Source organism: Homo sapiens, chromosome 7 (genome assembly GCF_000001405.40).
Source record: "Homo sapiens chromosome 7, GRCh38.p14 Primary Assembly".
In the NCBI taxonomy this organism is placed as follows: Eukaryota; Metazoa; Chordata; class Mammalia; order Primates; family Hominidae; genus Homo; species Homo sapiens.
The window spans coordinates 17,217,047-17,229,926 of NC_000007.14; the positions used below are offsets into that span (position 1 = coordinate 17,217,047).

A 12,880-nucleotide genomic window follows, 5' to 3' on the forward strand; every position below is an offset into this window, starting at 1 on the left:
GAACAGAATTTTCAACCCAGAGTTTCATATCCAGCCAAACTAAGCTTCATAAGTGAAGGAGAATTAAAATCCTTCACAGACAAGCAAATGCTGAGAGATTTTTGTCACCACCAGGCCTGCCCTAAAAGAGCTCCTGAAGGAAGCACTAAACATGGAAAGGAACAACTGGTATCAGCCACTGCAAAAACATGCCAAATTGTAAAGACCATTGAGGCTAGGAAGAAACTGCATCAACTAATGAGCAAAATAATCAGCTAACATCATAAGGACAGGATCAAATTCACACATAACAATAGTAACCTTAAATGTAAATAGGCTAAATGCTCCAATTAAAATACACAGACTGGCAAATTGGATAAAGAGTCAAGACCCATCAGTGTGCTGTATTCAGGAAACCCATCTCACATGCAGAGACACACATAGGCTCAAAATAAAGGGATGGAGGAAGATCTACCAAGCAAATGGAAAACAAAAAAAAAGGCAGGGGTTGCAATCCTAGTCTTGGATAAAACAGACTTTAAACCAACAAAGATCAGAAGAGACAAAGAAGGCCATTACATAATGGTAGAGGGATCAATTCAAAAAGAAGAGCTACCTATCCTAAATATATATGCACCCAATACAGGAGCACCCAGATTCATAAAGCAAGTCCTTAGAGACCTACAAAAAGACTTAGACTCCTACACAATAATAATGGGAGACTTTAACACCCCACTGTCAACATTAGACAGATCAATGAGACAGAAAGTTAACAAGGATATCCAGGAATTGAACTCAGCTCTGCACCAAGCAGACCTAACAGACACCTACAGAACTCTCTACCCCAAATCAACAGAATATACATTCTTTTCAGCACCACACCACACCTATCCCAAAATTGACCACATAGTTGGAAGTAAAGCACTCCTCAGCAAATGTAAAAGAACAGAAATTATAACAAACTATCTCTCAGACCACAGTGCAATCAAACTAGAACTCAGGATTAAGAAACTCACTCAAAACTGCTCAACTGCATGGAAACTGAACAACCTGCTCCTGAATGACTGTTGGGTACATAATGAAATGAAGGCAGAAATAAAGATGTTCTTTGAAACCAACAAGAACAAAGACACAACATACCAGAATCTCTGGGACACATTCAAAGCAGTGTGTAGAGGGAAATTTATAGCACTAAATATCCATAAAAGAAAGCAGGAAAGATCTAAAATTGACACCCTAACATCACAATTAAAAGAACTAGAGAAGCAAGAGCAAACACATTCAAAAGTTAGCAGAAGGCAAGAAATAACTAAGATCAGAGCAGAACTGAAGGAAATAGAGACACAAAACACCCTTCAAAAAATCAATGAAGCCAGGAGCTGGTTTTTTGAAACGATCAACAAAATTGATAGACCACTAGCAAGACTAATAAAGAAGAAGAGAGAGAAGAATCAAATAGATGAAATAAGAAATGACAAAGGGGATATCACCACCAATCCCACAGAAATAGAAACTACCATCAGAGAATACTATAAACACCTCTATGCAAATAAACTAGAAAATCTAGAAGAAATGGATAAATTCCTCGACACATAGACCCTCCCAAGATTAAACCAGGAAGAAGTTGAATCTCTGAATAGACCAATAACAGGAGCTGAAATTAAGGCAATAATTAATAGCTTACCAACCAAAAAAAGTCCAGGACCAGATGGATTCACAGCCGAATTCTACAAGGAGGTACAAGGAGGAGCTGGTACCATTCCTTCTGAAACTATTCCAATCAATAGAAAAAGAGGGAATCCTCCCTAACTCATTTTATGAGGCCAGCATCATCCTGATTACCAAAGCCTGGCAGAGACACAACGAAAAAAGAGAATTTTAGATCAATATTCCTGATGAACATTGATGCAAAAATCCTCAATAAAATACTGCCAAACTGAATCCAGCAGCACATCAAAAAGCTTATCCACCATGACCAAGTGGGCTTCATCCCTGGGATGCAAGGCTGGCTCAACATATTCAAATCAATAAACGTAATCCATCATATAAACAGAACCAACGACAAAAACCACACAATTATCTCAATAGATGCAGAAAAGGCCTTTGACAAAATTCAACATCCCTTCATGCTAAAAACTCTCAATAAATTAGGTATTGATGGGACGTATCTCAAAATAACAAGAGCTATCTATGACAAACCCACAGCCAATATCATACTGAATGGACAAAAACTGGAAGCATTCCCTTTGAAAACTGGCACAAGACAGGGATGCCCTCTCTCACCACTCCTATTCAATGTAGTGTTGGAAGTTCTGGCCAGGGCAATTAGGCAGGAGAAGGAAATAAAGGGTATTCAATTAGGAAAAGAGGAAGTCAAATTGTCCCTGTTTGCAGATGACATGATTGTATATCTAGAAAACCCCATTGTCTCAGCCCAAAATCTCCTTAAGCTGATAAGCAACTTCAGCAAAGTCTCAGGATATAAAATCAATGTGCAAAAATCACAAGCATCCTTATACACCAATAACAGACAAACAGAGAGCCAAATCATGAGTGAACTCCCATTCACAATTGCTTCAAAGAGAATAAAATACCTAGGAATCCAACTTACAAGGGATGTGAAGGACCTCTTCAAGGAGAACTACAAACCACTGCTCAATGAAATAAAAGAGGATACAAACAAATGGAAGAACATTCCATGCTCATGGGTAGGAAGAATCAATATCGTGAAAATGGCCATACTGCCCAAGGTAATTTATAGATTCAATGCCATCCCCATCAAGTTACCAATGACTTCCTTCACAGAATTGGAAAAAACTACTTTAAAGTTCATATGGAATCAAAAAAGAGCCCACATCACCAAGTCAATCCTAAGCCAAAAGAACAAAGCTGGAGGCATCACGCTACCTGAGTTCAAACTACACTACAAGGCTGCAGTAACCAAAACAGCATGGTACTGGTATCAAAACAGAGATATAGACCAATGGAACAGAACAGAGCCCTCAGAAATAATGCTGCATATCTACAACCATCTGATCTTTGACAAACCTGAGAAAAACAAGAAATGGGGAAACAATTCCCTGTTTAGTAGATGGTGCTGGGAAGACTGGCTAGCCATATGTAGAAAGCTGAAACTGGATCCCTTCCTTACACCTTATACGAAAATTAATTCAAGATGGATTAAAGACTTAAATGTTAGACCTAAAACCATAAAAACCCTAGAAGAAAACCTAGGCAGTACCATTCAGGACATAGGCATGGGCAAGGACTTCATGAGTAAAACTCCAAAAACAATGGCAACAAAAGCCAAAATTGACAAATGGGATCTAATTAAACTAAAGAGCTTCTGCACAGCAGAAGAAACTACCATCAGAGTGAACAGGCAACCTACAGAATGGGAGAAAATTTTTGCAATCTACTCATCTGACAAAGGGCTAATATCCAGAATCTATAATGAACTCCAACAAATTTACAAGAAAAGAACAAACAACCCCATCAAAAAGTGGGCAAAACATATGAACAGACATTTCTCAAAAGAAGACATTTATGCAGCCAACAGACACATGAAAAAATGCTCATCATCACTGGCCATCAGAGAAATGCAAATCAAAACCACAATGAGATACCATCTCACACCAGTTAGAATGGCAATCATTAAAAAGTCAGGAAACGACAGGTGCTGGAGAGGATGTGGAGAAATAGGAACACTTTTACACTGTTGGTGGGACTGTAAACTAGTTCAACCATTGTGGAAGTCAGTGTGGTGATTCCTCAGGGATCTAGAACTAGAAATACCATTTGACCCAGCCATCCCATTACTGGGTATATACCCAAAGGACTATAAATCATGCTGCTATAAAGATACATGCATATGTATGTTTATTGTGGCACTATTCACAATAGCAAAGACTTGGAACCAACCCAAATGTCCAACAATGATAGACTGGATTAAGAAAATGTGGCACATACACACCATGGAATACTACGCAGCCATAAAAAATGATGAGTTCATGTCCTTTGTAGGGACATGGATGGAGCTGGAAGCCATCATTCTCAGCAAACTATCGCAAGGACAAAAAACCAAACACCGCCTGTTCTCACTCACAGGTGGGAATTGAACAATGAGAACACATGGACACAGGAAGGGGAACATCACACACTGGGGCGTGTTGTGGGGTGGGGGGTGGGGGGAGGGATATCATTAGGAGATATACCTAATGTTAAATGACGAGTTAATGGGTGCAGCACACCAACATGGCACACGTATACATATGTAACTAACCTGCATGTTGTGCACATGTACCCTAAAACTTAAAGTATAATTAAAAAATTACATTTATAGAAGATGAAAATAATATTAAATCCATAGATTAAATTCAGTTTTACTCAAAAAAAAGAAGAAAAGGAAATGAATGGACTGTAAACACCCAAGTTCCTGAACAAGAAATATAAATATTCACATTATTCAAGTTAACAAATAAATGTAATAAAAGCTCATAATAAATATTTTCCAATAGAAAAAAATGTACAAAGGATCTGAATAAGCATTTATATATCTAAATGCTTATTTATCTTCTAAATAAGATATATGTGTGGTAAATACATGAAAAGTTACTCAACATCATTAGCTATCAGGAAATGCAAATCAAAACCACAATGAGCTACCAGTTCATACCCACTAAGATGCTATAATATGAAAGATAATTACAAGTGTTGATAAGGAAGCAGAGAAACTGGATCTCTCATAAACTATTGGTGAGAATGTAAAATGGTACAGACACTTTGGAAAACAGTTTGGCAGTTCCTCAAAATGTTAAACATAGACCCAGCATACATATGTTTCAAGATAACTGAAAACATATGTCCATACACCAGTATGTTCATGAATATTCTTAGCAACATTATTCATAATAATTCAAAAGTATAAACAACTGAATTATCCATCACCTGACAAATGGATGAAGAAAGCATGGTATATGCAAACAATGAAATATTATTCAGCCATTAAAAAAGAGTACTGATATACGCTATGGCATGGATAAACCTTGAAAATATTACGCTAAGTGAAAGAAGGCAGTCACAAGACTATATATTGATATGAAATGTCCAAAATAGGCAAATCCATAGAGATAAAAAGTAGATAATAATTGCTTAGGACTGGGACTTGGATTGGGGGTTGATGGGAAATGTGTAGCCATACCCTGTATGTATTAGCAAATAGATACAAGGGTTCTTCTTTGAGTGATAAAAACGTTCCAAAGTTGATGGTGTTAACAGTTGCACAAGTCTGTGAATATTTAAAAAACCAAGGAATTCTATGCTTTATATGAGTTATATTTTAATGCTGATTTTAAAAATTAGTATGATTATAACTGGGAAGTTTAAATAGTACCTTCAGCCCATATGGATTCCATAAATACAAAAATAATACCATTTTATTATAAACAAAGTAGGAAGTCCTAAGAAAGAGAATTTTAGACTTTGAGAGAAATTTAGAAAATATCTAGTCTTATTTCCTAAGTGCCCCATTTTTTAGAAAAGCAACTTTAACAACAGGGTGGTGGTTAAGTCTATGGATTCTTGGGATGACAGACAATGGGTCTCCATCACTTGATGAGTCTCCATCACTGATGACTGAGTCATTCTGGGAAAGGCATATGAACTCGCAGCCTCAATGTTCCTATTTACAAGAAGGGGGAGAAGGCAGAATATCGCTTATAGTGTAGTTATTATAGGATTACATGAGATACACATACACACACATGCTAGCACAAGGCCTGAAATATAAAGAGTGCTCAATGAAATTTAGCTAATGTTATAAAAGTGTCTTCCTCTACCTCAAGTTACGTATGTAGTGGAGCTGGGATAGAAAAAAATTTGGTTTTCTTCTCTTCTATTCTCTTTCCATTGTATCGTTATACCAAAGATTGAAAAATACTAAATTATTCTACCCAGAAAGAATGTGAACAGCTCTGATGCCAAATCACTTTAGAGTAATTGATGTTCTATGATTTTCAGAGTCAACAGACAGAATGAAGGTGGTCTTAAGATTTTAAAATGGTCTTGTGGTACTTCTGTCACATCTAGAAGTATAGTTTCGCTAAGACAGTACTTACACCCTAGCCCTGGGGATCATTTTTCTTTCCTCTGAATTCTCACTCTTGTTTGACATTCTATCTATTACATGTGCTAATCTGATAAGATGACGTAACATGACATCTGCATGTCTTAGGTAATCAAATCTGAAAAACAACTTTAGGAAGCAACTAGCTTTCGGTATTTATCCACAGCTTATCCTCTGAGAGAAACAGAGAATAATAGCTGCAAATATTTCTTAGAGTTTTGATGGCATTCTGCATGGTTATAAGGAATTGGCTCCTCTCATACATATGTTTTTGAGGTTACATGATTAATTTGATTATTTACCTTGGCAAATGTTATCATAGTAGCATTTTGATTAGCAGCAAATAAGTTATTTCTACAGAGGTGCCATGTGAGATTATCTAGGTGATATTACACAGTAGGTAGGTATTAGGAACACTTTATAAGTGTGCACTTATGCACTGCTGATTAGATTACCTTTTGATGCAACTGTTCTGAGGGGGATTTTGGCAAAAGATCTCAAAAGCCTTCAACCTTTCACTCATCATTTCCACTGCCAAGGATCTGTCTAACAAAAATCACGAAATATATTCCCAAATATTTGTTTATTAAAAGTTGACCAAAAGATTATATAAAATCATGACATCTTGAAAACAACTCAAATGTTCCATCATGATGACTTAGGAAATAAAATTAAACATGTCCATGGTTTGTATTTAAAAGATTGTTTATAATACCTTATGTGAAGATTTTACATAATATGTAAAATACTGTAATGGGTTTCAGAATAATATTCATAATAGGGTTGCAATAATTTTAAAATAACTCTGAATACATTCTATGTGTGCATATATGTGAATACATATATGCATTAAACTTTATCATTTGGACTTGATTTGCAAAGCATCATTAGTTTTTTTACTTAACCTCAATAATTCCTTTAGACATGTGAGCTCTGCAAATCTATGGACTTTGCAGCAGAATGCCTTTCTTTTTTTTTTTTTTTTATTATACTTTAAGTTCTAGGGTACATGTGCACATTGTGCAGGTTAGTTACATATGTATACATGTGCCATGCTGGTGTGCTGCACCCACTAACTCGTCATCTAGCATTAGGTATATCTCCCAATGCTACCCCTCCCCCTCCCCCCACCCCACCACAGTCCCCAGAGTGTGATATTCCCCTTCCTGTGACCATGTGATCAGTTCATGTCCTTTGTAGGGACATGGATGAAATTGGAAACCATCATTCTCAGTAAACTATCGCAAGAACAAAAAACCAAACACCGCATATTCTCACTCATAGGTGGGAATTGAACAGAATGCCTTTCTTTAGAAACCACTGCTATCAGAATAGGAACTGTGAAAACAAATGAGAATGCTCTCATACAGTTATTTTATGGTCTATCAGTATTAATGAATTGTACTCAATTCACCCTCAGTTTTTAGAGTCTGAAAATGTAGATACCATGAATGTTTATGCAAGAGTTTTTTAATGAGTATTTTCAGTGAGACCTATTATTGTGTTAATTGAATATAGAAATCCTTTATATTAATCCTTGTAAAATATAATGATTTTTAAAACACAGTAGAAAAAGTGGAAGGTCTTGTCTGCCTGATGTGCTCCCAATGTGATGTGGTATATTTGAAAGAGATCCAGTTGTTATCAAGGTACTTTTCTTGGTATTCTTCTACCTGTCATCCACTGCTAGGCCTTAAGGCTTGGCAATCTTTTAACGTCTTACAGAATTATAGGACATATATCAGACTGCATATGTACTAGATATGACAGACAGTGGTCATTCTCTAAGTCTTGTATATATTTCCTGTTTCTGTTTTGAGTAAAATGTCCAATACCACTGGGAATGCCTATTTAACATTGCTAAGAGAACAAGAAAATTTATCTTCTTTGGATCTAACCATCTGAGCCAACTCTATTTTTTCCTAACCACTTTATTGAGGTGCAGTTGACATATGAAAAGCTGTGTATATTTAAGGTATACAACTTGGTGAGTTTGGGAATAAGTATACAGCCATAAAACCATTACCATATTCTATGCCATCAACATATCCATCACTTCCAAAGGTTTCCTCTCATTTTACTTATTATTATTTTTGTGATAAGAATGCTTAGTATAAGAGTTAACATTTTAGCAAATTTTCAGCATACAATACAGTATTGTTAACTATAAGTGCTGTGGTGTATGGTAGCTCTCCAGTACTTACTCATCTTGTAAAACTAGAGCTTTGTACCTTTTGACTAACATCTCCTTGTTCCCTACCCCCAACCATCCCCTGACAACCACCATTCTATTCTCTGCTTCCATGAGACTATTTTAAATTTGCCATAAAATTGGTATCATATAACATTTGTCCTGTTCCTGGCTTGTTTCACTTAGCACAATGTCCACCACATTCATCTGTGTTGTCACAAATGGCACAATTTGCTTCCTTTTCAAGGCTGAATAATATTCCATTGTATAGGTACATATATATGTATATACCACATTTTCTTTATCTATTTCTGTAAATGGACATTTAGGTCACTTCTGTGCCTTGTCTATTGTGGACAGTAGAATTAAAATCAGAATCTTGAAGAGATTATTACCACTCCCATGTTCATTGTAGAACTATTTGTAATAGCCAGCTCTATTCTTTTTCCAAAAGAAAGCTGAACTCATGTGAATACATAATGCAAAAACTGGAAAGTATAATAATTATACAAAGAAATAGAGAAGCTAAAAAATCGGCATTCAGTCATTGCTTTTATCATCTCATTGGTAAATTCCTTCAGTATGATGGTGAGGTGCCTTATGTTACCATGTTCTTGCACAAGCAAAACAGTGACAGTGGTCAACAATGCCCACATACACTGAACTGATGGTATGCATTCCACTATCAGGTAGCTCTTCCTGTAAGTATTACTCTAACACTACCCATGGCTTCTCCCCATAACCTCTGCCACTCTGAGGTCAAAGTAATTCCTAGTAGGCTGCTTCACAGAAACTATTTTGACAACTGCTTAAAAAAAACCATATATATATATATATATATATATATATATATATATATATATACACACACACATGTATCTCCTGATACACATATATATATCTCCTGATATATATGTATATCTCCTGATATATATATATATGTATATCTCCTGATATATATATATATATGTATATCTCCTGATATATATATATATATATATATATCTCCTGATACATACATATACGAATATATATATATGGAGAGATATATATATATATATAGAGAGAGATATATATATATATGGAGAAATATATATGGAGATAAATATATATCCCTTTCCATATATATATATCTCCATATATATGTATATCTCCATATATATCCACATATATATATATATATATATATATATATCAGGAACACTATGCCAGCAAATTAGTAAACTGAATGTTTCTTGATTTTTTAAAAAAAAATTTTCCTTCCCCAGAAAGAGAGTTGTATCAAACAGTAAAATGGCTATTTTCTTTTCAAATAATTTACATTGATTTTTTGAAACATCTTTAAAATTCACATTAAATATCCTAAGAGTCGATGGTGTTTTTATTTTAACAGAAAGATTAATGATTCACCCGAAGTTCGACATTATGTATAACTCAGAACTCTTCACAGCAACTTTCAAATAAGATTATCAGAACTTCTTGCATGGATTGGCACAGGACTCTGGGATAAATTATCCTGGTAAGAATTTTGAGACTTACTACTCTGGACAAGAAAGATAAACTACAGAGGATGCTGGCTTCCTCCCCAAACTGAACACTATAGATGCTACATAAGAGAGAGAGGAGAAAGATGGGTCCACTGAACTAACATGATAACTGGATTTCTGCAGGGAGGAAAGGCAGACGTGGTTTGTTGTGAAGGAGACAAGCAGCCTGCAGGAGAGACAGGAATCAGGTAACACTGTTGGAGCGAGGCTGGCAGAGGAGGTTTTAATTCTTTAGTTTCATTTTTTGGTGAGAGAGAATAGAAGCATCCTACATGGCCACCTATTGTCCAAGGAATAACCTCAGTACAGTCCCAACAAGAGTAACGAGATGACGGAAACAAGTCCGACAAGGGAATACTAAATTATCCCTACTTCTCCTGTTCTTGTCCCCACAATTGCTCCAGGAACTAGTAGGTTATCTCCACCATCTTCTAAGATGATTATTTTAGAATTACCCGATGAATTTAATGGCAATTCCTAAGGGACGTCATTTTCCTGGTAGCATGTAGTAGCAATGTCTGAGGCATTCACGAAAACTGTAGTAAGCCTCAAAGGAAGCTTTAATACCTTCCCAAAAGCGCAATATCACATTGTCTGTATTTTCTATGGTAGAGGAAAACTTGAAATTAATAAAAAGTAGCCAGAAAAAGAAACTTTTTGTTCTTAAAACTAATACGCTTTCCTCTGTCTGATATGTTTATTTTTATTGAGTATAATTTGTTCATATCCATCCATTAATTTTCATGACTGTATGATACCTGGATAATATTGCATAAGGATATACTAATATACGTGAGAATGAAGTGGTTTAAGAAACCCTCTTCCAAAGAGCCTCAAGTAACCAGCAGCCTGGGCGACAGAGCGAGACTCCGTCTCAAAAAAAAAAAAAAAAAATAGAAGTTTTTATTCATAACAATAATGCAATCATTTATTAAACAGCTATTATGCTTAATTTGTTTCTTATGTATTTGTGTCTAATTCTTAAAAACAACTTCTCACATTCAGAGTTAAGTAACTTGCCCAATGTCACATGGTTAGTAGAGGTTGAGTCAGGATTTGAGCTAAGTTTTGCAAGATCATGAAGTTCACTCTGTTTATAGCAATAACCATTCAAGCTGAAGATAAATGTTGTCTAGAAGTGGATTTGTAAAGAATTATGTATGTCTGGTTGAAAATCATGTTAAGAACGTTAGTATACTTGTATTTTTAGAACTATACAATTCATTCATGAAACAATTTTTATTGAATGTTTACCATATGGAAGACATCACAGAAAATATTTACTGATAAAAAAGGAAAAGCTGTAATCTCTAAGATTTCAAATTTAACAAACAGCTGTCTACAAATAACAGAAATGAATCTCCTCAGGAGTCATCTTGAAATTACGCTAAAATGCAATTTTCCTTTGAAACTGGAAAATCCACTAAATGAGACAACATTTGGTAATTGGTATTCTTCAGCAACTAGTAGGCTGCATAGTGGGGAAATGAAAATAGTAAAACCATGAAAGAATAGAGGGAAAAAAGGCTTATAAACTAAACCATCAACATAAATGGCTCTTCTACCTTTTTACTGTTGGCATGTAATGTACTAGGCATGGTGCAATTTGCACTCTTTAAAAGTCATTTCTAAACAAAAACCTTAGAGACTTTATCTTTCCTAGTAAACACTTATGATTATAGGTGGGGATAAGAGACAAAATTGTTTATCAAAGAATAGTCCTTTTATACAGACAGATGAATAAGAAGTTTCCTCTCATTGAACTTTGAATCAAACAAGTAGCTTAAATGTAAAGAGTTTAATTACAAACATTAATTCCAATACAGTCTCGGACATTTTAGCATATACAGTTTCAAAGAAAAAAAACTTCTAATTCAAAACTATTATATATAAAATAAAGCAAATATTTTCTCATTCATTTCAAATATGGATGTTTGCTTAAGTCTTTGGTCTAAGTAATATGAAACGGTATACTAACTCATCTACCGCAGACACTAAATATTTTAAACTATTTGATCTTGAAATAATATAAAACAATATTTATAGTTGGAGATTTTATTTTCCTCATAACATGAGAACAAGTAATTCTTTTGATCATTATATGCCATGTTTTCTTTACTAATTTAGAGATTTCTTCATTTATCTTTAGATTTATGTCTCTATTTCACAATTGTTTAATTGTAATACAGACTAGTTTATGCGTATATACTCTTGATTATGTTGTCAATTGTATTTATCATTTATCAAAGATTATTTTTCATTGGTCATGTGTCAAAATATTTCTGACAAGAGACAGAGAATGGAAATATAAGGGTGTAATGAAGTGAATTTTTATGACCAGAAATACAAATCCATGAACCAAAAATGATTCATATGTGTCTGTGATCTTTGAGAATTAGGCTTCTCTTATTCGAAGATAAAACCTATACCAATAAAATATTCTTACAGAAAATGTAGATTTAAAGCACTTTACTTTGAACTCTGCACAAAGAATATGCTTTAAAATGTTGAGCAACTGACTGAGATGTAATTACATTTGACGTATTAAACCTCTCTAGGAATTTTCATTATGATCTTTCCTTTGGGCAAATTGAGCAAGTCTGACCTTTGGCACATTCAAGTTTGAATCTTATGTCATAACACATTATTTGAAAACAAACTAAAAATACAATAGAAACATCTCATCTCATGATGTCTACATGAAATGACATAAAATAGTTAAAACTCAATTATCCATAAATAAGCATTTCAGCTTTCCACCACCAAAACTAGAATACAAAAACTGGTTTTGAATAATTATTTGTTGTGATGGCCTCTCAACTGCCTTCCCACTTTTGGGCCTATAAGGCAGGTCATACTCCTTAACATTGCATCATAAAAGTCAGCTTCAGATAGCGACAACATTGAAGGACATTGTTTGAGACCCCTCAGCCACCAGTCCATTTGATCTTAAGCTGTTTTCACCCTCTGGTTCTGCTTTCTTGACTTGACATCCAGCGCGTATCCCTCTGTTTTGTCTTTCTCTTACGGATTTGTTGC

The 12,880-nt window shown here is 34.9% G+C and overlaps 2 long non-coding RNA genes across 3 annotated transcripts in view; one reads left to right on the top strand and one right to left on the bottom strand.

Moving 5' to 3' along the window:
* The window catches only part of LOC107986772 (uncharacterized), a 129,008-nt gene extending 117,243 nt beyond the window's left edge, over positions 1–11,765 (top strand). The window contains exon 3 of the long non-coding RNA XR_001745107.2: positions 9,688–11,765. This is a non-coding gene — a long non-coding RNA (uncharacterized LOC107986772). The remainder of the gene's footprint in view (positions 1–9,687) is intronic.
* LOC101927609 (uncharacterized) overlaps positions 1–12,880 on the bottom strand; it is a 164,409-nt gene that overhangs the window by 82,135 nt on the left and 69,394 nt on the right. The gene's annotated exons all lie outside the window — the stretch shown is intronic.